This window comes from Homo sapiens, chromosome 11 (assembly GCF_000001405.40).
Source record: "Homo sapiens chromosome 11, GRCh38.p14 Primary Assembly".
NCBI classification, from domain to species: domain Eukaryota; kingdom Metazoa; phylum Chordata; class Mammalia; order Primates; family Hominidae; genus Homo; species Homo sapiens.
The window spans coordinates 83,817,542-83,844,619 of NC_000011.10; the positions used below are offsets into that span (position 1 = coordinate 83,817,542).

General features: G+C 39.3%; 1 protein-coding gene across 52 annotated transcripts in view; it reads right to left on the bottom strand.

Annotated features, from left to right (window-relative positions):
- The window catches only part of DLG2 (discs large MAGUK scaffold protein 2), a 2,173,362-nt gene that overhangs the window by 362,530 nt on the left and 1,783,754 nt on the right, over positions 1 to 27,078 (bottom strand). For all 52 annotated transcript variants that reach the window (NR_165353.1, NM_001351274.2, XM_017017256.3 and 49 more), the window contains one exon: positions 16,073 to 16,229. Coding sequence is in view for 51 of the 52 variants with exons in the window: in NM_001351274.2 (NP_001338203.1) it covers positions 16,073 to 16,229 (157 nt within the window). In the remaining variant the exon portion in view is untranslated. The remainder of the gene's footprint in view (positions 1 to 16,072; positions 16,230 to 27,078) is intronic.

Genomic DNA, 27,078 nt, shown 5'->3' on the forward strand with positions numbered 1-27,078 from the left:
TTAATTTTAATTTCTGATTTTAAAACTTTTATTATTTAAAGGGAAGTCTTAGGCTGGGTGAGGTGGTTCACACCTGTGATCCCAGTGCTTTGAGAGGCTGAGGTGGGAGGACTGCTTGAGGCCAAGAGTTGAAAAACAGCCTGGGCAACATGGTGAGACCCAGTATCTTAGAAATATTTTAAAAATTAGCTGTGTATGGTGATGCATGTTCATAGTCCTAGCTATTTGAGAAGTTGAGGTGAGAGGATTGCGTGAGCCCAGGAGCTCAAAGGTTTAGTGAGCTATGATTGTGCTACTGCACAATCTAGCAGCAGTGAGACCCTGTCTCTAATTAAAAAATAAATAAATAAAATAAAGGGAAGTCTTTATTCATAACTAACATACGTTTAGTCATAACTAATAAAAAATTAATTGTTCAAAAACCCTTCAGTGCATCCTTTTTATCACACAAAGTTCTCTCAAACACATACATTCCTAGCATATTGGAGCTGGAAGGGCCTTTAAAGATCCTGAGTCTCCGTCTTTTCACTTTACAGAGGAGTGAGAAGATCAGGAGTTTGTTCAGGTTGTCCTGAGTAACTGAATTGTTGCTCCTGGGAGCTATTTGCTTTTCCTAGCCTAGCCCAGTGCTTAAACTCCTCATCCCGTTTATTCAGAGGCCAAATAGTCTCCTGCATCTGGTGTCTTGTTGGTCTGGGCTGTTGATAATTCTTGAGCACTCCTGCTTTTCAAAACTTCTGCATTGGACTTCATGTTCTTCCTTTGTGGCCTGATGAAAAAATCGTTTATCTTAGACTTGCAGTGAGGATCTGGGAAGGTCTTTCCATTACCAAGGAAAACATGAATCCTCCTCAGAATACCTGGTGAGGTTTTGCCTTTTCTATGGAACTCCCTTGCCTCACTGTACTTTTCTTATAGTATAATTCGGGGTGGACCTGCTTATTACTTCTGTTAGACTATAAGCATCCCAAGGACATGACACATGGCTTAGTCATCATTACATTCCACATAGCAAGGTGACATAAACACAGAAGCCCCTATCAAGTTCGTTGTAGACAGGGATGAGAGGATACATGAATAAACAGAGGAATGGAGTGGAATATCTTATTTCCTGACAGGAGGTTTAAATCTATGTTAGTAAGGGTATGAAAGCTATATATATTTTTTCCTTCAGGGAAAGATGGTGAGCCACCCAAGGTGAAAAGAGAATCTCTGACAAGCAAGCAAAAATTAAGGTTGTACTCTTTGTCATAAGAAATGACTATGAATATGAACGTAAAAAGACATTAGAGAAGAAAAGTCAGGAAAAGGGGAAAGATAAATTTGGGTAGCATAAGAGACTGCCCAAAGGACTTTAAAACCAGAGATACCTGACGTTCATTTTTAAGTTTTTACATGTTTATGCAAATCCACTGCCATCTTTTTGAGGCATAAGTCCTGTCTGCTACACACAAAGGAGATGCTAAGGAACACTTGCTTGCCTTTATGTTAGAAACAGAAACAGTGTGATTTTTTCTGATGTTCTCAATTACAGAGTCTACTGACTCAGGTCTATATGTGCCTGATGATGATCACGAGCCCCATCAACAAAGGGAGTTCCCGCTCAGCATGGAGGCAGACCCTCCGCCAAATGAAAGAAAAATGTAGGCCAGGTGTAGTGGCTCACACCTGTAATCCCAGCACTTTGGGAGGCTGAGGCAGGTGGATCACCTGAGGTCAGGAGTTCGAGACCAGCCTGGCCAACATGGTGAAACCCCATCTCTACTGAAAATACAAAAACTAGCTGGGCATTGTGGTACATGCCTGTAACCCCAGCTAACTGGGAGGCTGAGGCAGGAGAATTGCTTGGACCTGGGAGGCTGAGGTTGCAGTGATCCAAGATCATGCCACTATACTCCAGCCTGGGAGACAGAGCAAGACTCTATCTCAAAAAAAAAAAAAAAAAAAAAAAGAAGAAAAGAAAAAGAAAAGAAAAAGAAAAGAAAAATATAGTCTTCATTCTTCTTAATTCTATCATAAATCTGAGAGTAGAATAATAAAAGTACATGAAAAACTACCCATAGCTTAGTATAGTTTATGTTACACACAAAACCTGAGAGATATAGGCAATAAATGTTCCTGGAATATGTTTTACAGCAACATTGGTCCATCAGGAAAGTTTCCCTCCAGGAAAGATTCTGAACATAGAGAAATAACAAGAAATCAAATTATAAGGAAGATTAACTATTGACCTTTTCCTGACCCCTCTATTTCTCCCCTTCAAGCAGGAGAATTATAGGTCAGTCCAACGTTGAAGAAGGAGTAACATTTCTCATTTTGAGCTTTCTCAAGAAATCTTGGCTATCAGAGCTCCCAGCTGATTCCTAGTGGTTTCTTATGTTTAAATACAGGACCCTCACAATAATAATAATAATAATAAACAAAGTCACAAATGTTACTTTCAGGTTTGAATTCCACTTGAATTCATTGAGTTATATTTTAAAAAGCTATCATTATGATAACCAGTTTTAATACTGTGATCAAATACAATCACTAGTATGAAAACTGGGCAAAAGGCCACATTCCACTAGTGTCTCCAGTTCAATGCAAAATCTTTTACTGCCATCTTGTGGATTTTTAGGAAATAATCCCAGTCACTACATATTATTTATTGTCTTACGGGAACAATAGGTTCATAGGCCAGTTTATGAAAATAACTGAAAAAAAGTATAAGAAAAGAGCAGCTAAATAGTCAGGTTTCCATCTAACATTATCACTTTGTATTCTCTACTAAGCATCTCTGAGGCTTGGTTTCTTCATAAAAAGTTGTTATTATAATAATACCATCCCCTGCCTGTCTCAAGGTTGCCATAAGAATAAAAATTTTAAATTGCTCCATAAATCAAAAGTACTATTCAGAAACAACCAATTATTATCAATGCTATCAGCCACATTATTAGAATGACGATACCTAAGCATTTCATATGTAACAAGGTAAACTATGGTTCAGGCTGAAAAGTCCAGACCTTGGTACCTGCTTTCAGAGTGATTTGTCTCATCTTTTATGGCTTTCAGGGCAAGAAAATGGATGTTTCAAATGAAAATATTCCCTGGAGATAGTTGTTCCTGGGGCAGAAAATACTGTGGGCCTGACAACTGAGGAAGGGAATATTTCCTTTTTTACTGATTCACTGATGAGCAAGTGAGCCCCGACATTTGAAAAGCACAGCAAATATGTAGTATAGGAACAGCTTTTTCCAGTGAAAAATGCTACCCCTGGGATCCTATCTACTGATCCATATTTAGTTATTCTCTGGTAAGTTATTCATCCAGGATTTCTCTCTTCCAACCAACCGACACTTAAACTGGAAAACCAGGCAATAGGTTGGCTCATAGATGTCACAGACAACTTAAAAAAGAATCTTCTGAGAATTTCAGGGAAAAAACTTAGAACAAAATCTCCAAAAGCTTTCCTTTCCCATTAGCGAAGACTTCAAGTTCTTTCATCTAATTTATTCATCACCTATGAACACCTGTGTGTGCCTAGCACTGGGTTAGGTTCTGGGATGCAATGATGATGCAGACATAACGCTTATGCTTACTGACCTCCATACTAGCTGGAAAGTTCACATCTCATAACTCATGATATCTGCTGCTTCAAGCTCTGCAGTTGTTCAGAACCTGAGCAGAGAAAGGGCCAATGCTGCCCTTGGGAATTTGAAAGAGAGAAGCAGCTCATGTATGAGCAATTTGCTGTTAGAGGACGCTCATCGACTCTCCACTTATGTCAGCTGTTGAGAGCGGTCATTGCATGTGGTGGAGTGAATGGTGTCAGAAGTGGTGATGGTGATGATGAAGAAGATAAGATGATACTTGGAATTAAGAAACTTATTATGGATTTTTTTTAGATGAATGGATTTTAAATAATGTCAGCGTGAGAAGAATAAGTCATAGTAGTTGTTTCTTTTTATCAATCTGCCATGCATTACGACCATGTTCATATCTTATGTCTCCACTAAGCTATCAGCCCCTGAAGGTGAGAACAATGTCTGATATACCTCTCTATTTCCTATAAACACTAGAATAATATTTGACAGTCATGTTTTCATTATTGAACACTTATAAAGTGCCAGATACTTTTCAAAACTCTTCGAATACAGCAATAAACAAAATAAATCAATAAGAGATATTCAATAAATCAAATAATTAACAAATAAGAGTCACAGCCATACAGCCAAAGTGTTTTCCACTTCTTCCACTTAATATACATGTATATGAATTGCTAAATAAATCACCAATTTCCTTCTCTCTACTGAATCATTTCCATCAACATATAAACACTGTTACAAAAAACAAACTCTACCCTCAAGTTCCCATTCTATTGCATTCCTCTCTAGAGCAAACTCAAAGGAGATAACTCTTCTCCTTGTCATTAAAAGAGGGAATTTGGATGGAAAGGCAGGAGGAACTTGTCGAAAGATATTAAGTGGAGGAGTAACATGATCAAAGTTGATAGAATCTATGGAGTTGGTGTGAAAGATGAAAAAAATACTGACTTTGAAGCTGGGCAGACCTAGAGTCCAGTCCTTTTACTACAGTCTGGTCTTAACCAAATTATTTAACCTCTCAGAATCTCAGAACTTTGACCTGCAAGATAATAGTAATCAAACCATTTGAAGTTCTTACTAGGTAGGAAGCACACAATATGTCTCTCATCCTTTGTCTTCAATTCTTCTCCTTTTATTCTCTCAGGCCTAGGCTCCTCCCACTAGAGGCTTCTCTCTGAAATAATTTCTATTGTTTAAGAAGCACTTATGATCCTTAAGATACTAGACCTAAAACATTCCTCAAATAGAGCTCAGTGAGCCAAATAATCCCCGATGGTCATTTATCATTTATCTACCCAGTGTTCAGATATGCTTCTTATTTGGGGACAATTCAAGACAGGAAGGAGGCACAGCCTTACCCCCATTAGAGAAGCTGGAGGGGGCAGCTATTCCCTTTTCCCACCCCTCAGCAGCTACAACAGGGCAAGTCAAGCAGATGTTCCAGTTGGGAATTTAGCATCCCCACACTAACGTGTAAGGTGCATGGAGAAACAGAGATTTTTCATGGCAGTGTGGTTTGGCTATAAGTGGCCAGTGGTGACAGCCCAGCACCCTTAGTAGGAGGATTTCCTCCTTGGCCTCTGAGCCTGGTTCCTCAGGCTTCCTGAAGAGCTTGTAGACTATCTGTTATTTCTCCAATAAATTCTTTTTTTTCATATAAGTTACCTGGAACTGACGTCTGTTGTCTGGAGTCAAGAACTCCAGGAGGTAAATTCACCAATCAAGCTCCCATCAGGTATATTCCTAGAGTAGTTAGCGTTAGAGGTAAGGGAGCTTGTCATGAAAGAAGGAGGCCTATACCTAGAGTCAAACAGGCTTTGAGTTAGAAAACTGTTGAACCCTTCAGTTTCTTCTTGAATAAAACAGCAGCATGATCACTTTCCTACCTATCCTGAAGGTACCCTATGAGGATCAAATGAGATAATCACAGTGAGATACTTTATACATATATATGGTAATGCAAATCTAAGGGTTATTAGAGATTAGCTAATAAAATAGGTTATTCTGAGGCCCAAACAAATTGGACTAAAAATCAGTCCACTTTTTGACTCAAAAGAGATTTCAGGAGGGATGATCAAGTCGATGATCACTCCTTCTTTAAAACTTGAGAACTCTTTGCACGATTTCCCCTTTATCTGTGATCAGCTGTTATACCACAGTTTAGATGTTTACATAGAGAAGACACTTTGAAACTTGTATAGGAAGTCCTTGCTACCCAAATTTTTTGGAAGAAGAGAATATGTCATAAACATATTTTAAATGATCATCAAGTATTTAGCATTTAATATGTAATAGAATAGTTAATTAACATTTTTCTGATCTATAGGAATTCCTCTTAGTCAATTAGGAAATGATCTGTCTGAATTGGAAATATATTCCATTGGCCAGAAATCTAAAAGCTTTAATGTATTCTGAATCTTCAGGACAGAAGGGATTAATTGGCCAGAGCGCGAGATGAATAAAACTGAGAGGGGTCCTAGGATTTCCAACTGCCTTCAGAGAAGTGGGCAAAGATGAGTCATTCATTCATTCATTCATTCATTCATTCGTTCATTAAACATTTGCTCAGTAGCTCCGTTCTAAGTTAATCAACAAGGGAGCAGAGATGAATAAAACACAGTTTCATCCTCAAGGGAAGCTTCAAAGGATCTGAACGTTGCTTCTAAGTGCCTCAATCTTACAGCCTTCGTATACAATGGCTTCCTGTGGTGACTCATATGTCTCCTTTTAAATGCTCTTTTTTTAGGCATTTATGCTTTTTTCATTAACTAGACTTTGAGTATGGACTGCCTCAGACATAAGTAAACTGCCAAATTCAATTCTTTGGTGAAGGCCTGCATCGCAGAAAGAGCATAGCTTTGAAATCAGAAGCAACAGTATTCCAAATACCACCATCATTACTGATTATCTGTGTGATCTTGGACAAATTATTTAATTTCTCTGAGCCTTCAATCCAACAAGGTTGTTAGGACAATTCAGTGAAATCACAGCGCAGTATCCAGCAAAATGCTTTGTGCTGAGCATATATTCAATAAAGGTTAGGCATTTTATCTCCAATTCTCTACTGGTTTTGCTTTCTAGGGGCCCTCTTTGTTGGGAAGTTTCCCCTCCAGAATCCTTCTTACTTCCCCAGGCTGAGCTAAGGATGGTCTCTTCTTTACGCCCATGTGGTCCCTGGAACTTACCGTTAGCATTTCCATGTTATATTGGAAATAATCTATTTATTTGTCTGTCTCCCTTCATGAGGCTACATGTTCACTGAGGACACAATGATTTTTTTCACGTTGCATCCTTAGTGTCTAGTAGCTTTTGGTACTTTGTGAATGTCTCTGAGCTCTGCAAACAAGATTTTAAGGTGAAAATTTACTTCCGTCAAATAAAATACTTGCAAGAGGTTTTCTGGAGATTATGACAGAATTTTCAAAAAATATGTTTCACTTGATAGTAATTTATATCCAAAGACTAAAAAAGTTATTTTGTTAAATAATGTTAAAAAACACTTTATCAGCATTTAAAAAATTTGCTGCAGGACTTCTCAGATCTTTCATTGAATTATGAACCTTTTTTATGAAGCATTTCACACATCCGCTATTATACACAGTTTTGGAAGTACCACTGCGAGAAAAGCTGGTGTTTTACTGGTGCACTGAGTTAAGTTTCAGACTTTTGAAAGCTGCTTACAGTTAAATCCTTTGAGTAGTGATATTGTGAGTCAGGTGTTACAAGTCTGATGTTAAGTACATGGTTCCCAATGTACTATTTTCACTGCACCTTGCTAAGTTGTGACATATAGTATGTTTATGACACATTGAATAAGCAAGACTTAAGGAATATAACTGGAAAGGAGCAATGTTAATTTTGTTTCCCTACACAGTTTGCTGAGTGCCCACAGATTTTATTGTTTTTCTTTTTGTTGTTGTTGTTTTTGTTTTTTATATATACACATATATATACACACATATATATACACATATATATAGACATATATATACACATATATATATACACACACACACACACACACATATATATATATATATATATTTTTTTTTTTTTTTTTTTTTTTTTTTGAGATGGAATTTCACTCTTGTTGCCCAGGCTGGAATGCAATGGCATGATCTTGGCTCACCGCAACCTCCGCCTCCCAGGTTCAAGCGATTCTCCTGCCTCAGCATCCTGAGTAGCTGGGATTATAGGCATGCACCACCACGTCCGGCTAATTTTGTATTTTTAGTAGAGATGGGGTTTCTCCATGTTGGTCAGGCTGATCTCAAACTCCCCACCTCAGGTGAACTGCCCAACTCAGCCTCCCAGAGTGCTGAGATTACAGGTGTGAGCCACTGTGCCCGGCCTAATTACTGCTTTTCTTTAACATATATTATACAGCCGGATTCTATGTCAGACAATGGGGATGCTGTTTAAGTGACGCTTGGGGCAATTCATGAGTTCTCTGGTCCCTTTTAGATAATGGAGGGTTTTTCCTTGTCTACTCCAAGTTCCTTTTCGAGGAAATTCAGTGAACAAGATGGAGGTAGGAGGGAGCTCAGCACAGAGGGGACAGGGCTGCTGCTCCGTCCCCACTCAGTGATATGGCTCTTCCTTTTTGTACAACAGTGAAACACACTTGTGTGTGGTTTGTTAGTAAATAACTGCTGTCCTGAGCCCTCCTGAGTGACCCACAACTCTGGCTCCCTAGAAGTCCCCACTGCCCTGCTGTCTGGCATCTGTGGCACTACGGCCATTCATTGTGTGGATGGGTGCCAGGGTTATGCCAAGGTGTGAAAATTTTGAATAGCATCCCTGACCATAGGTAAAGAAAAATCCAGAGTGGCTGAAGCATCAGTGAGAGTAGGGGAAGTATTGTGGATGGGGCAGGCTGTCCAGGCAGGCAGGGGCCAGACTCTGCAAAATTCTGTGGGCTGTGTTAACAATTTTAGGCTTTAAGAACAGCAGGACACCATTGAAAGGCTTTAAAGAGAGCAGGAAAAGGATATGATTAGATAGGCTTTTTGTACAGTTTCCTCTTTCCAAAGGCTGGAAGTCTGTATGTGATGGGTGATGTTTATATGCACTAGGCAATCATCAGGAATAAAGAACTCTGCCCATAGTCAGGCCCTGCTGAATACCCACACTCTGGTGGCTGGGCCAGGAGGTACAGCCTGGCTAGTGGGGCTCTGAAGCCAAGGCTGAGCAAGAGTGACTCCCCTGGAGCCTCTTCACAAGCCATATCTGTTTTCATTTGAGGTGGTCTTGTGATCAGGTGAGCAGTGAGTTCTGAGCTGTGCAGGAAGAAAGATCCAGTAAGGTAGGGAGAAGTCTAAATGGGCTCTACAATTAAGAGAGGCAAAAGCCAGAAATGACTGAAGAGTCAATGTGTCTAGATGCAGTGGGTTAGAGAGAGAGAGCAAATGCCTGGAACAAGCATGCTGGTTTGGAGAGGCAACTTCCACATGGTTTCTGGACCAGAACTCTAAATTTAACTGGTCAGATTTAAGGCAATAAGCTTTTACCTCCTCAAAAACAGCATCAACTCCACTTAGTTGGATTTCACTTCAAAGTTTAAGAGTATGTCCTGGCTGATACAGTACCTTGAAATTTCTGAAACCTTACTGATACTTTTTCCTGAAGGGAGAGTAGTGGTTTTGCTGGAGTTTGGGTGACTCCAAGTTTTGAAGATGAGAGAAGAGAAGCTGAAGGTGTGGCTTAGGTGAAAGGTTTCATAAGATTTCTGATTTAAGCTGTTTCACTTTTGGGGACAAGGTGAAATAATAGCACTGAGATGTGGAGATGAGACTTGTCCCTAACACTGCATAGGCCCCAGATCCTCTTTAGTATTTCAGAGCGTGCTTGTTTCAGGAACACACAGAGGGAGAGAGAGTTTCTTAGGCAGAGAACATCAGTACTGAAAACTAGGAAAGCAAGGTTCCTTCATGGGACCGGGAACCAGAGCCAGAGAGGAACGGCACGGCAGGTATGGCATGGTGACTGGAAGGGATGAGGTCTGGCGGCTCATATGAGGACCACTTCAGGAAATCGAAGAAATAATTTTGGACATCTTTACTGGGGATGGCAGTGGAGAGGTGGAAGCAACAACACCAGCAGAGATTTAGAAATGTTATTTGAGGTAACAATATAAGGTGACCTTATCAGTACCCCAAGATGGAGAATAGTCTGTATAGTGCTCATATTCTGTTTAATTAACTTGAAAATAGAGTCCTGGCAAATCAAGTCCTTCCCCTCTGCACGTTTCTAAACATGAAGATAACCTGAAAATTTTTGAAATACCCATGTCAGCTGTGACTCATTTTTACTCTTTTTAAATCAACAATGCAATTTAAATTCTAATTTGGAAATCCAGTTACCTATTATACCTTCACTTCGACAGCTGCAGCATTTCACTTCTGGCAATACATATTCCCAATCACGTATCTTGAAACACACTTTGTTAAATACTTAAAGTCCATATCAAGAATGAGCTTTGGAGTTAGCAAGTCAGCTGGGGTGATCATTTTTGGATGCCTGAGGAATGAATAAACTAAAATTGCTTGGAGAGACAGGAAATAATCTCTTTCTAGGGGTATTGCTTCTCTGTGCTCTGTTTCACATTTTTTCCTAACAAATCACTGAAACAAATAATAAGAGAAGCATTTCTAGCTTTCCTTCTGCAGAAAGAATGCCTGAGGAGGCGACTGCACTAGTTAATGTGACTGCATGCTGAATGCCCTAAATTCTCCTCCATGAATACATCAAGAATATGGTTCAATTACTGAATTCCGTTCTGCAACAAATCCCTGAGAAATAGAATACATAAAAGAGAAACTAGAAAAGATCACTTATAATACATGTATAGGATGTAGCCCAAGGTGACAATTTCTTTGTCTTTGAGCATCTTAAATATTTAATTTTGGAATTCTGGTGGGGATAAGGGGTAGGCCTGGAAAAAAATCCCTATAATGGAGCTTCAGGACCCTCCATCTTCAGGTTGCTAAGTAATGTGTTTTGACAATGCATGAACACTAGATGGCACCCATAACCTTAAAACATAGTAAAACGTTACTTCCCTTTTCTGTATAGGCAAGAATGTAGGAATCAGTCAATTATGGGGATTATAAAAATTAGCTGGGCAGAGTGGCAGGCACCAGTAATCTCAGCTACTTGGGAGGCTGAAGCAGGAGAATCACTTGAACCCAGAAGGCAGAGGTTGCAGTGAGCCGAGATCACGCCACTGTGCTCCAGCCTGTGCAACACAGCCAGACTCCGTCACAAATAATAATAACAAATCTACTCGAGCATTTCCCACTACTGGTGTCCTGTAAGTTACTCCTTATGTAAGGGTTTGGTGGTCAAAATGTTTTTGAAAGCCATAGACTTCATCTGCTCTAGGAGATTTCCAATGGACACAGGTAAACATGTTTTTTAGAAGTTCTTCATTGAAGAAGCCTGTACAAATGAACCTATTACAGTAGCAACCTATTACAATCCTGCTGTTTCAGTGTTCTACGAAACACACTTTGGGAAATGCCAATCTAGTCCAATCCCTGTCCCAAAGAAGGAACAGCCCAAACTATCCAAAAGAGGCCCTCCTTATACATGGGTATCTGAACCTTTTTAAAAAACAACAGATACAGTCTTAAAGCAGAGTTGATAGTAATAGCAACACTTATTGAATATGTATACTATGACATGCTGTATTTTAAGTGTTACTGTCTCTTCTCTTTCTTCAGTGTGTGTGTATATATATATATGTGTATGTATATGTGTTTATATACATATACATACATATACAATACCTGGCACATAGTAAGCCATTAATAACTAAATTACCTAGGAATATTCTATAGTCTGTGTGTGAGAGTAGGAATGGACATTCTGCCCCTCATTAGAAAGGTTATTGTCTATTATGCAAGTCTCTTACCTATGAAGAACAATTGAGACCAAAGACATATCCTCCAGATCCCTTCCCTGGGGATTCTACTTCCTTTCTCTGAAACTACTACATTATTGTTAACATGACTTATTTGCAAATTAATCTTACATGACCTATTAATATGTATTGAATTTTATTTAGCTTTTTTTTTTTTTTTTTTTGACAGAGTCTCACTCTGTTGCCCAGGCTGGGGTGCAGTGGTGTGATCTTGGCTCACTGCAGCCTCTGCCTCCTGGGTTCAACCGATTCTCCTGACTCAGCCTCCCAAGTAGCTGGGACTACAGGTGCACACCACGATGCCTGGCTAATTTTTGTATTTTTAGTAAAGACAGGGTTTCACCATGTTGGCCTGGCTGGTCTCAAACTCCTGACCTCAGGTGATCTGCCCGCCTCAGCCTCCCAAAGTGCTGGGATTATAGGCATGAGCCACTGTGCCCAGCTAGCTCTTGATTGTTATTTAGAGTTTTTGCTTTGCATTTTCCAGGAAGGTTGCTTGCCCCTGTATGTCCAGTGCAAGTTATAGATGAAAATATTTTATCTTCCATATTCCATTATTAGTAATTCTTCTGTGCCATTTTGCTTTCCACATTGTAATGTTTGAGCTTCTCAAGACTGTTCTTTTCTCTCAATGTTAAGCAATTAAATTCCAATAGTGAACCTTGAAGCTAGCCATTTTCTTATTTATTTATTTATTTATTTTTATTATTATACTTTAAGTTCTAGGGTACATGTGCACAACATGCAGGTTTGTTACATATGTACACATGTGCCATGTTGGTGTGCTGCACCCTTTAACTCGTCATTTACATTAGGTATATCCCCTAATGCTATCCCTCCCCACTTGCCCCACCATACGACAGGCCCCGGTGTGTGATGTTCGCCATCCTGTGTCCAAGTGTTCTCATTGTTCAATTCCCACCTATGAGTGAGAACATGCGGTGTTTCGTTTTCTGTCCTTGCGATAGTTTGCTGAGAATGATGGTTTCCAGAAGCTAGCCATTTTCTAGCTAGCTACAGGTGAAATACATTTTGATATACTAAGGAAAAATGTTCCCTCTTCTTTCTCAACTGAAAAAAGCAGATAATATTTTCCTCATCATCTGTATTTGCAAATGTTATACATAAAAACGGATATGCTGTGTGAACTTCAAAGATTGTTGTTATATTCTGTGAATTATAATATCTAAGACGACTATAATTCTGATTGGTTGCCTTATTTACTGTGTGGTCCTGGTAATAATATTTAAATGGATAAATCTATTTTTGAAGCAGAAATACTTGCGAGTTTTCTTTGTCAAGCCATAGAGTATCACTAGATCACCTTTTTCCTCTCACATGTATGGAGGTTAAAATAAATAAAGCCTATGGCTTGGTGGATTTTTTATTTAAACAGAGTTAGAGAGTCTAATGCCATCTCTGTAGCTCAATTTCTTTATCCTTAATATGAACATAACAAGGCATAGTGTTGTTGGAAGACTAAATTATTTATGATAGTGACTGACTCAAAAGTACCATGTAAGTATTAGTTCTTTATTGCTTTATGTGTTCCCGAATGTGATGTGCACACAGTGCGGTGTGCACCAAGAAGATGTGCCATAGAGACTGTTGACAATATTTTGAAAAGAAAGTGTGCTGAGAGGAGAAAGAACACTGACTTGAGTTCAGCTTTATAGTCAGTAGCTGTGGAGACATAGACAGATCATTTAGCCTCTCCAAATCTCTTTTCTTCTGATCTGGAAAATGGGAGTAATAATAATAACCTATCCTGCCACTTAGAATGCCTTAGAGAATCTCTAGAATTAATGCATGTGACAGTGCTTTGTGTCTGGGAACATTTAATGACGATATGAATGCTGATTGTAATGAAATGACAAAGTGGTCCGCAAGTATACAGAATGTAAGCCAGGATGATGAAGATACGTTAGTATGCTTTAGGTAGAATTTTAGAATCAATCTTCAGGCTATAGTGACTTCTTAATGTACCACCATATTTATTCAACACTTTTTCATTCGATAAACACTTCTTTTTTGGGAGACTGCTATGTGCCAGGCATTGTGCTAAATATTGAGGATATAAAATCATATAAGATAGAGAATTTGCTTTCAGAGACCGTACCACCTAGTACAGAAAGACAGACATGTAAACGTATATGCACAATAAGGTTTGATAGCTGCCAGTTATATCTTACATATCATGAAAGTATTGAAGAAGTAGGTAAGGGAAGTAGTTTAAGGAATGATGCTCAGCTCTTGGATGGCAGAACAAGGTCCTGGTGTGGGACTATACGCTGTATCTCCCATACTCAACATCCTTCCAGAGAACTGCACCTGATGAGTAGGCAGAGGCCTTCATATGTGAGAGGACCACAGTGACACATACGACAAGGCTATTCATGCAAATTTCCGGACACCTTACTAAAGTCAACTGACTGTATGATGTTATTCAGGTAAACTGTGTGTGTGTGTGTGTGTATGTCAGAGAGAGAGAGAGAGAGAGAGAAAGAGAGAGAGATTTTCCCATTTTTTGAAGGGTTGGAATGGTGGCTAACAAATATAAGGTAAATTATAAGATTCTATTTATAAATCACAGCCATAAAATGAAAACAAATTTTTCTAAATGCACAATGAAAACCACAAACTAAGTGCTTTGTTTAGTTATGAACTATGAACCATAATATCAGCCATAAGTACTGGCTCCTTATGTAACCCTCCGTTATTATTTTCATGATTAGTAAAATTAAAATATAGGCAGGAACACTCACAATGGATTTACCCTATCATACTAAGGAGGAAGCTTGACATAGTAGAAGGAGACAGCCAATAAATATTTGAATAAGTTAAAGGAAACAGGAAAAGAAAGGAAGAGGAAAGGGAAATTAGAAGGAAGGGGGAAAGTGGCAATGAGATGGAAGAATGAAAAGAGGGAGGGAAGGGATATGGTAGGTGTAATGGGCATTAAAATGGAATACTTAAATCCCAGCTCTGACTCTCTATAGTTAGGTAAACTTTGACAAGCTGGAAGTTTATCTTCATTTGAACATGAGGCAGTACCTTTCAGAGTGATTGTGAGAAGAATAAATAATAGTTATGCAAGATAAGTCAGAGGTCCATTGAACAATGTGTGCCTATAGTCACCAATACTGCTTGCTTAAACATTTGCTAAGATGGTAGATCTTATGTTAATTGTTCTTATAACAAAAGGAAAATAATAATAAAAAAAGAAGAGAACAGGAGAAAACTTTTGGAGTGATGGTTGTGTTATGGCATAGATTGTGGTGATGGTTTCATGTGTGCATACATATCTCCAAATTCGTCATAAGTATGTACAACTTTTTCTACGTCAATCTCATCTCAGTAAAGTACCCTTGAAAATTACTTACAAAATAATGCCCTTTGCACCAATGCAGATGCCACTGGAGGCTATTATCCTAAGCAAATTAACACAGGAACAGAAAGCCAAATACCACATGTTCTTACTTATAAGTGGGAGCGAAATACTGGATACTCATGGACATAAAAATAGCAACAATAGGCACTGGGGACTCCTAGAGTGGGGAGGGAAGGAAAAGGGAAATGATTGAAAAACTACTGGGTACTACTCTCACTATCTGGGTAATGGGATCAATTGTATGCTCAACCTCAGCATCACGTGATATACCCATATAAGAAACATCGTGTGTACCGCCAAATCTAAAATAAAAGTTGAAATTATTAAAAAGGTAAAAAAAAAGGTGCTTAATACATTGTTGCTGATAATTCTTGAATTTAGTTGAATGGTGCCACTGCTACAACTTAGTACCATCAGCAAACTCTATATAGCATTATCTTATGCATTTTTTTGTTTTTACATTTGCACCAAACTATACACATTATAAAGGTACAGTGTTTAGAGTATGGTTATGAGTTTGGGAGAAAAGTCTGTTTTTTTAAATAAAATAAGTAATATATCATTTTTAAAAAGGCATGCTTCTCAACGTTCTGTTGGATGCAAATGTGTCTCAGAACATCTAGAAGAAAACATTAGCACCTTCGCCTTTATTTGAGGGAAGTAAGTGCCACAAGCATCAAGGACCTGAACACCATTTAAACTGTGACATGTAGACCATGCTTGATGGCTCATGCCTGTAATCCCAGCACTTTGGGAGGCTGAGGCGGGTGGATCACCTGAGGTCAGGAGTTTGAGACCAGTCTGGACAACATGGCGAAACCCTGTCTTTACTTAAAATACAAAAATTAGTCGGATGTGGCGGTGGGCAGCTATAATCTCAGCTACTCAGGAGGCTGAGGCAGGAGAATCACCTCAACCCGGGAGGCAGAGGTTGCAGTGAGCTGAGATCCTGCCACTGCACTCCAGCCTGGGCAACAGACAGAGCGAGATTCTGTCTCAAAGGAAACAAAAACAAAAACAAACAAAATTGTGACATGCACCAGAAGTCGTGATGCTCTCATCCACTTTCCTTTGTAATTAAGGTGCTTTTGGTATCATAATTGAAAGTTATGACTTTTTCATTGATGGCGTCAGATATGGAGGGAATAAAGATTAAAGAAACATACTCACCGATAGGATCTGGTCTCCTCTCTGGAGCTCCCCACTTAGGTCTGCTGGTCCACCAGCCAGAATGAAGGACACAAAAATACCTTCTCCATCTTCCCCACCGACAATGTTGAAGCCCAGGCCAGTGGAGCCTTTGTGCAGGACTACCTTGCGAGGCTCTCTGCAGAAAGAAATAGAGAACACAGCTCAGAGGGTGATCCATTTAAGATTTACGTTGCTTTTACTTTCAATGGGATATATGATATCAGCAACTCACTACTTGTAAAATTGTTTCTCAAACTAAGATAACATTTGCACATCAAGAAAGAGGCTAATATCAGGACAGATGTTTGAGTTCCCCACTGCAACAACTACCAAAATACCATGCAAAAAATCATTCCTTCATTCTAAAAAAATTTCTTAAACTACCTTTACTTCTACTTTTCTTTTGTTTAAAACATCTCTTTTTGTATCAAGCACCACAGTAGTACTCAGTATGACGGATGCACACAAAAGCAGGGAGGGATTTTTGGGAAGAAGAGACTAAGGTTGAATGCCCAGATCATGAAAGATCTTACAAGCCAGGTTGTGGGTTTGTTGTTTGCTTGACTGTTAATTAAAATTTACTGTGTAGGCCATGGGGCTCATTAGAAGATTCTGAGACATTAAGAATACTTAAATTCATTTTAGGAAAATTAACAGATGGTCCTATGGAGGGCTGACGGAGAGGAAAGCACAGATATGATCGGAGGTGGGAAAACCATTTAGGATGTTGTCTAGGAATCCAGCTGTGAGGAAGTCACAGCCTGAAGAAGGGTGACAGCAGTGAGAATTTTAAAAAGGGCAACATGAGAGAGGAAATTTGAAGGGAGAAGCAGTAGGTCCAGAGATGACTCAGACATTGGAAAAAGAGGAGAGAGAGCATCTAAGTAACTAGCAAAAGGAGAGATGAGTGGAATCCAGGGTCATGAGAATGAGTATGATTTTGACACACTCAGTTCCAGGAAATAGTGAGATATCCAGGTGGAGATGTTCTGAAGCAGCTGGAGACAAAGAATAGGAATATGGGCCTTCAGAGAGGACTATAAATACATATTTGAGGATCATCAATAAAAAGGTCAGAGATCAAATCTTGAGCCAATAGTTCACTGAGTTTGTGTACAGCTCAGAATAATATGGAATTATAGAATGTAAAAAGTCTTAAAATGCATTTAGTTCAATTTTCTGTATCAGTAGTTTTAAAAAGTGTTTTTGCAAGCCTTAGGTTTGACCAAGTTGTCATTTGCATCACCCACCCTCCTCTCCCAAACATCTCAGTTCATCTTCTATTTTCCAGCTCTTAATGATGTAAGAATGAGAAAGAGCCATCCCATGTATTTTATACTAATGGCTACACAAAGAATTTGTTACTTGCTATCACATTTCCATGCATAAAATGATGCATTATGTATATATGCCTTATTATGAGGAAAGGTGTAAAGTGCACCTCACAACTTGAACTGTAAGTAATAAATTATGTAACAATGCATTAAGTCAGAGGTAAAGTGACATAGAGTTAACTCATTTCATTCTACAAATACTTTGTAAACACCTACTGTGCCAGGAAGGTGTTTCAGGTGCTCAGAATGTTTGCAAACAAAACAAATATCCCTGTCCTTGTGGGCTTACAATCTAATGAAGGTAGACCACTAATAAACAATAGATGCAATAAATAAGTTCATTATATAGCACGTTAGAAGGCAAAAAGTATTTTGGAGAGAAAAAAAGGCAGAGCAGTGTAGGAGGGATAGGTTGTGGTGAGGAGGGCCTGGGTAGGATGGATTGAGAAGGTGACATTTTAGAAAAAATTGAAGAGGTGAGGAAACTAGTCATGTCGCTATAAAAAGGAAGAACATTCTGGCCAGAGGAAAGGAACAGCCAAACAGAGATCCTAATATGGAAGGGTGCCTGGTGTTGTCAAAGAAGAACTAGGAGGCCACTGTGGCTGAACTGAGTGAATGAGGAAAGGAGAATGGTAAACAATGAAGTCACTGTTTTAGTTTTCTATTGCTGAATAACAAGTTACCACAAATCTAGCAGGTTAAAACCACAGCCATTATTCTCTTTCAGTTCTGTAGGTCAGGAGTCTGGGTGGACTTGACTGTGTTGCCTACCTATGCTGAAGTCAAGGTGTCAGCCAGGCTCAGCTTTATTGCAAATTTCTGTGGAAAAATCTGCTTCCAAATGTATTTAGGTTCCTGGCAGAATTCAGTTTCTTGTGGTTGTAGGATTGTATTAGTCAGGGTTCTTCAGAGAAAGCCAACATGAGATTGCACACACACACACCCCTATGGTATATACACATACACACACACCCCTATAGTATATACACATACATCATAAGGAATTGGCTTATGTAGTTGTGGAGGCTGATAAGGCCCAGGATTTGTGGCTGGCAAATTGGAGACCGAGGAGAGCCAGTGATATATATTAAATAGTTGTAGGCTGAGGCTAAGCCTGAAGGCAGATGAAGACTGCTGATGTCCCAGCTTGAAGACAGTCAGGAAGAAGCAGCAAATTCACCCTCTCAATGCTTTTTTATTCTATTCAGGCCTTCAGTGGATTAGATGAGGATCACACCCCTTGGGGAAAACAATCTGCTTTACCCAGCCTATTGATTTGCATGTTCATCTCATCCAGAAACACCCTCACAGACATACTGAGGAAAATGTTTAACCAAATAGCTGGACACTCAATGACTCAGTCAAGCTGATACATGAAATTAACCATCATAAGGAATAAGGTACCCATTTCCTTGCTGGCCATCAACTGGGGCCTCTCTCAGCTCCTATAGGCCATCCACATTCCTCACCCCATGGCTCTCTCTATCTTCAAGCAACTAATGGCACATTGAATCCTCTTCACATTTGGAAGCTCTGACTTCCTCTTCTCCAACTAGCTGAATAACTCTTTGCTTCTTAGGGGTTTATGTGATTAGGCCAGGCCCACCCAGATAATTTTCCTATCTTAACTGATTAGTAACCTTAATTACTTGCAAAATCCCTTTTCTTATGTAAGAACTTAACTGTGGGAGTAACACCAGGAGGTAGATATCATGGGTCCCTCTTAGAACTCTGCCTACCACTATCAGAGAGACAACGGTGCATTAATCCTGCAGGGCCTTGTAGATCATTTTAAAAGCTTTGACTTTTACTCTGATAGAAATGGGGAGCCTGTGAGGAAATGAATTGACCTGACTTACATTTGTAAATGATTCCTTTGATGTAAAATAGAGTCCTCTTGCAGCTGGGTGGGCATGGCAGTTCAGCTCCCCCTTGATCACAGAACAGCAGGGAGGGAGACACAGAGCATTCACCTCATTCTACCTCATTGCCACTAGGTGGGAGTAGAAGTTCAGCTCCGCGCTTGGATCCACTAACACCAATCGGGGAGAGAAGATGGGGTGCTGACTAGCACTGCCTTGAACCACCTTATTCTCCTTACCTTTGCATGGGGGTAGGAGTTCAGCTCCTCACAGGGCCCTGCTGATACTATCCTGGCAGGCAGAGTGGTTTTCCAACTAGTACTGATTTCCTCTTTCTCCTACTTCATTGCCACTGTGCAGGGGTGGAAGTTAAGCTTCTTGCTGGTTCCCATCAATATTAGGAGTAGGGGAATGGAATGCCAACTAACGCCACCTCATTTCAGCCTGTTGCTGCTGGGTAAGGGTACGAGTTCAGCTCCCCACTAGAAAGTGGAGTATCGACTAGCATCACCTCGTACCCCCTTGTTCTGCCTATTTGCTGCCAGGTGGGGATGGAAATTCAGTTCTTGTTCTGTCTACCAACAACAGCCTAGTGGAAGAAGTGTAAGGCCATCTTAGAGTTGCCTCTCCTGGCTGCCGCTGGTAGAGCCAGAAACCTAGCTCTCGGCATAGCACTACTGACACTGCAGGGTTGAGGGGACAGTTTTTTCTTTGGTGTTTGGCTAGAGTAGGTCAGTATTATCAAAAGTTTTCCGGTTCTATTAGTCTACCTGTTTTTCCCAGTCATTTATCTAAAGGGAGCAGGTTTTACTTGGGGCTGTTTTTGTCTGTACTTATTGGCGGTTCCAGGCTGCAGGTTCTCCAGTGCTCTGTCCAAATACATAGCAAGCAAAAAAAAAAAAAAAAAAAAAAAAGAAAAGAAAGAAAAAGTCCTGGGAACTCACTACAGTATCCTTCCTTTCCTAGCCAGTTTGTTGCCTCCTTTCCAACTCTAAAGTCTTCCTACATTTGTGTTTTTCTACTCAAGGTTATTTGTTTTGTTTTGCTTTTTAAATAAGAGGGTGGATTAGAGAGAAATGGGGATACATTTTAAACGTAGAGGCCAACAGAATTTTCATGAAAAGGTTATTGTCGAAATCTCCCCCTTTCCCCAGAATAAACACACGTATAGACATTCTTAGTGGGTCCAACAACACTGAAGCTCTATATAGTACATATAGATGGAGGGAAGAGAGTGATTAGGACTCTGACATTTGTCCCTGTGCTAGATATTGTGCTTGATGCTTTATATGAATCATTTGATTTATTCCTCAAAAAAATGAAAGGTATACTGATTTTGCAACTACTTTAAAACAGGAACAGAAAGCAAAATAGATTGATGATTGGATAGATGGGTAGGTATGTGATAGAGAAAGTATAGGAAAATGTTAATAGTGGAATCTAGGTGACAAGTACACGGATGTTCATTGTAACATTTTTAAACTTTTCCTTATGTTTGAAAAATGTTTATAATGAAATTATGAGTAAAATAAATAACCTGATGAAGAAATCATTAGGGCAAATGTTTAGATTAGTGAAATGAGACTACTTGTCTAAGCTTTTAACTGAGTTTAGTAAGCAGCAAAGGCAGGATTAAGGACATAGATTTTCTGTCTCACAATCCAAAAGTCTAGAATACGGTATATACCAGAGATTGCAAACCAGCAAGTCAAAGGCTGAATTTGACTCATAATATTTACAAATGTTTGAATTAGCTGCCCAAGTTTAAAATTAGGAAAATTTGCATGAAATATGGATTTGTGGCTTCACATGAAAAAAGTCTGGCATTCCATCAACACTAGCTCCCAGTTTTGCTGTGAGGCAACACTTGGTTTAGAGAATGGGCTTCTTTAGAAGGGTCATTCATGCTCTAGTTTGCCATAGTCCTGACCTCTTTCTCCTGTTCCCAGACAAAAAAAAAAAAGCTGTCATTGTACCACATTTGCACTTCTTATAAAATTAAGAGGAAAGTATTTCTTGTACTCATACTCCTATCAAAAATGGGAAAATGAAAGCTTTATGGAGGGAATCATATTTTAATAAAAATGGGAGAGAGTAAGATTCCTATGGAAGTAAAGATTATTCTTACATGTTTAATATGCAATGTGACTTTATGCAGGAAGAATACAGCTTTCAAAGGTCATTATGAAACATCATTGCCCATTACCCATTTATGTTACCCATCTGGGGGCATTTTGTTAGTGACCTTTGCACTTTGACATACTGCTTCCTGTCTTTAAAAACAGAAAACATATAATGTTTGCATGACAGTAGATTTTATTTATTTTACCTGGACCCCATTGATTTCAAACTATCAAAACAAATCTTTTAAAATATATTATTTGGAATTTTTGAAACTCAGAAGATTTAAATGCCTTTTTTAAAAACAGAATTTTATATTATAGTTAATTATGATACTTACTTTAATAGTGAAGATAAATGACAAAAAATAAATTTGTAAAATGGAATGCAAATAAAATGTCCTAAGCACACTTCAAATGATTTATTTTTTCTAATTTAAATTTCTTATCCTAATAACCTATTACAGCAATCTGTAGATTTTAAAGCATTTCACATATATTTTCCTGTTAGAGGATCAAAGCCCTTTAAAGTATTACAAGTCCTATTTTACCGATGCTTAGGTAAATCGGCTTGTCTACATTCACATAGCCAGAAGCATCAGAGCTAGTCTCTTTGCTGTAAGTTAAGTGTTTCATCCATTTGATGGAGAGGGAACTTAAACAATGAAAATTTTTAAAAACTAAGCTAAAATTCAAGTATATTTAAAGTATAGTAGTATACATTGAAGTATATATAAGCCAGAGGAGGATTCTTAATTTAAAAAAGGGATTACGATATATTACAGAATATAGTTTCCAAAACCATTGACACTCAAAGATTCACTTTAACTGCCCTTAGCTCTTATCATTTGAACCACATGGTTCAATACCGCATTCCATGCTGCCTTGCACTCTTCTCTCTCTGAATGTCATGGTATCTACTCCAACCCCTTCATCCCCTCTAATTCAGGTTTTGACTTTTAGGATAAACTCCCAACTTGAAGTCTCCTTGATCCTAGTTTCAATCTTCCAAATACATTCTCCTCCCTAAAATACAAATCAGATCACCTTACTACCCTGCTTAAACGTCTCCAGGCACCCTATGTTCCAGCCACATCAAAGTCCCTGTGCTTCCCTGAGTTTGACATGTTGCTTCATACCTCTACGTTTTGGCTCAGGCCACCTTAAAACTCAGTTCAACCATCACTTCTCTGAATCCCCAGGTACATATGATAACTTGTTCCTTGGGTCCACACTGTGTCTTCCACACATGCATCTATTGCAGCATGTTTTACAGTGTGTCATAATTGCTCATACCTTCTTCTCAAGAAAATGTGAACTCCTAGAACCCAGGCACCAGCATTTCCCCAGTAATAGTAAGATGCCTGGCAGGTAGCAGAAACTCAGGAAATAGGTATTAAATGAATGGATAAACTCCCACAGTGATTAAGGTCTCCATTTCATATTATAATTAATTACACGAATGTCTTTCCCTCTTCCTAGATTTTAACCAGGTATGTCAAAATCTAAATTCCAGAGATATAGATCACAAAACACAAATGGGCAAAGCAGGATGAGAAGGAAATATAGCAAACTGGAAGACACATTTCATCTAAAAGGGGGCTGCTGCTGCTCAACTCTGGACAATCGCTCCAAGCAGGAATGTCAAGCAATCTTGACAGATTCTCTAATTTTTAAAGATAAGCCAAGAATCTAGATATTTATATAAATTTCCCAGAATTCAAATATGACAATGGTTAAAAAAGGTAAAAGCATGGTGCAGGTCAAACTAAAGATGTCTGTTATGCATCCAGCTATGAACTGCCAGTGTGAGACTCTGCCTTGTTAGAAGTTTGATGGTGCATTTGACATCTGCTTCATGTTTTTCGCTTCCATGGTGCTCAGAATGGTACTTGACTGATGGTCATTTAATATTCCACATTTAGCCCATCCTTTTCTTCACTTTTCAGTTTCTCCCATTCTGTAATACCCTTTTATCTTACTGTTTCCCGTTTGTCTTTTTTTTCCTTTTATATTACAGCTGCTCAAGACCCATGATCTTCATGATAAACCATTCTCAAACATTTTGAGCCTAGCTGCTTTTGCATGCATACTGCTGAGGCTAATGACTCTGGGTCTGATTAATATAATAGCCCACATTTCTAAGAACTGTTTTGTGTGTGAGGGCATTGTGGCCCCCAGTGAGATCATAATATCCTGGAGGTGAGGTATCATGGTTTACTTTCTAGGTATACCTAATACTCATAGAACAGTGTTCAGTCAACATCTGATGATTGAATAAATAAACACAATTTATAAATAACTCAAATACTTTTTATACTAGAATGATTTGGGGACTCTGATTTCCTATTTTATTCATCATCCAGAATTCATATTGCTGAAGGCTCTGTTACTAATCATTATTATACATCATTATACATTGACAGTGGAACAAAATTCTATCTCTCATTTCTCATTCTGAAATTAGCTCAGGGATTGTAATCTTCTAGAAATTTTCCCTGATACTCTCCTTAGTCTCTCTACTCTAGGCTGGGTTGGGTGCTTCACCTAGCAATCTTTTCATGTATCTATCATAATGCTTATTCCACTGGATTGGTTTATTTGACTCCCTTTCTAGCTAGAGTGAGCAACTTCAGGGCAGAGACCCATACAAAACGACATACGTTGGCATTTGCTTTTTGTCTCCAATACCTGGTACATAAGAGGTGCTCACTGTCAGCTAATTTCATATTATGTTTTAAGTATGGAATGTATAGAAGACATAATTTGGTCACTCACAATATCAGCAGTTTTAAAAACAAAGTTAGATAGCTACTTAAAAATATGTATCTTACCCATCCATCCAACTTCCAATAGACAAGCATCTATGGAGTACCTATGTTGTGTTAGGCACTGTGAATACAAAGATTAAAGAGCCTGGGGTAGGAGGAGCCACATGTAAACAAACGCTTATAGAAGCCTAGGAAGTGGACAAGTGCTATGACAGAAACTTGTGAGCAATAAGCTAAAGTAGCCAAGAGTAAGGAGCGGCCAGCCTTCTTCTTAAAAGGTATTATTCTTTTACCATCATCACTTAGATGAAATGTGCTATATTCATTTATGCAGTTTTTATTTTTCTCTTAATATTATGTAAAAAGTCTTTAAAATTATAAAACCTTTGGATGCTGAGCGAATGGAGAAATGCCAGCCTGACCTGCTGCAAGCTGTGACAGATCATCAGCAGCATAATCTTACTCAGCTGGAGTCTCAGAGGATCCTCTAAACTAGTCAGGATGTTTTGAGGAGAAAGGAGGTGCTGTAGGCTTTCTCTCTTTACGGCAGATGGTTTAAGAGTGTTCATGACTCAAAAAGGAAAATTACCGCCAGGCTTGGTGGCTCACGCCTGTAATCCCAGCACTCTGGGAGGCCAAGGCGGGCGGATCATGAGGTCAAGAGATTGAGACCATTCTGGCCAACATGGTGAAACCCCATCTCTACTAAAAATACAAAAATTAGCTGGGTGTGGTAGCGTGCACCTGTAGTCCCAGCTGCTCAGGAGGCTGAGGCAGGAGAATCGCTTGAACCTGTCTCAAAAAAAAAAAAAAAAAAAAAAAGGCCGGGCACGGTGGCTCATGCTTGTAGTCCCAGCACTTTGGGAGGCCGAGGCGGGTGGATCACGAGGTCAGGATATCGAGACCACGGTGAAAACCCGTCTCTACTAAAAATACAAAAAATTAGCCGGGCATGGTGGCGGGTGCCTGTAGCCCCAGGTACTCGGGAGGCTGAGGCAGGAGAATGGCGTGAACCTGGGAGGCAGAGCTTGCAGTGAGCTGAGATCACGCCACTGCACTCCAGCCTGGGCGACAGAGCAAGACTCTGTCTCCAAAAAAAAAAAAAAAAAGAAGGAAAATTACTACTTACACTGAAGTCTTTCTCATGGCCATTCGTGGGCTATTCCTTGAACTCTGAGCGTCTGGGGGCTTGGGAAGTTACTCCAGTCAAATCCTACAACCTCCATGGTGAGAGGCTGTATTGGGTAGTGGGAATTAAGATATAAATATGTTTTCATTGATCTTTCTAAAGAACATATCTTACCATGTTTCTCTCTTGCTCAAAAGCCTTCTAAGGATCTGTGTACCTTTTAGGATAAGGTCTAAACTTCTACATAGGCATTCAAAGCTTCCTATTATTTGACCTCACCTACCTCTCCACCACTTAACTTCATTGTGCCCCTTTGTATTTCATATTTCAGCCTTACAAAGTTGCCAACCACAGCTTCTCATCCCAGGTTGTTCCTCCTTGTCTTTGCCCAGGCTGTTTGCTGTTTGCTTTGGCTAGAAGGATGCCTGCCTTTTCCTGCTATTCTCATCTATCTAACGAGGTCCTACTTGGCCTTTAAGACTGAGGCCAGGTACAATCTCCTCTCTGCTGTCCCCTCTACCCTCACCTCCAGAAGAACTGACTTTTTTGAAACCACATTGTCCTTTCATTGATCACACCACTATCACTGCCTTTACTGTTCTGAAATAAATTTATTTACCCATCCATCTATGCTGTCAATCTGTATGGTCCTGAAAGACAAAGATAAAGGACTTTTAGGTCCTTGTTTTGTGTAATTTTGGAAGCGGGTACAGGCTGAGCATATAAGAGACATACAAACAAAAATATTGTTTCATGAACGGAAAAAAAAGTGAGTGGTTGGGAAAAATGATACTGAGTTCTAGTTCTGGCTCTCTTGGGATATGTGGGAAGCCAGGATTGTCCTCTACAGGTCGGGTTCCTTGCTTGGGTAATGGAGGGAATAATGTTTGTCTCATGGGGAAGTGTTGAAATTCCGATAAGACAATGAACTAAAGGCATCTAGAAAACTGAGAAGTTTTAAAGAAAATTAAATATTGAGATGCTATTTCCAGTAATTTGGCATATTAGATATTCTGAAAACCCCTTTCATTACAAAGCAGCTAAAAATTCTGAATAAAATAGTTATAAAATACTTTTAAATGCTTGGCTAAGCTTGCAAGTAAGAGAAATCTTCAGAGGATGAAAATGAAGCAGAAATGCAAACTCAGAAGAAAGCAAGTACTGAGAATAGCAGCAGACTGAAGAGTGATGAGCTAGTGTGTTAGTGTCTAGATTTGATGGCTGCATGAATAGGACTGTGTGAGCCCAGTGGTGGGATTAGATCAGAGACACCTGAGCAAAATTAGGACCCTGTGAGGCTACACCCCAAACAAAAGGATAAAGTACAAAAATATTAGCACTTCAACAATATCCAGGATACATATCTATCCTGATTTTGGCTCATAGGGTAAAAAAAAGGGCCTGGGGGCCAGGCGCGGTGGCTCACGCCTGTAGTAATCTCAGTACTTTGGGAGGCCGAGGCGGGTGGATCACTAGAGGCCAGAAGTTCCAGACCAGCCTGGCTAACATGGTGAAACTCCATCTCTATTGAAAAAAAAAAAAAAATTAGCTGGGCATGGTGGTGCATGTCTGTAATCCCAGCTACTTGGGTGGCTGAGGCACGAGAATTGCTTGAACCTGGGAGGCGGAAGTTGCAGTAAGCCAAGATCGCATCACTGCACTTTAGCTTAGGCAACAGAGTGAGAGTCTGTATCAAAAAAAAAAAAAAAAAAAAAAAGGGCCTGGGGAACTAATCAAGGCATGTTTGAATGTCAAATAAGTTACAC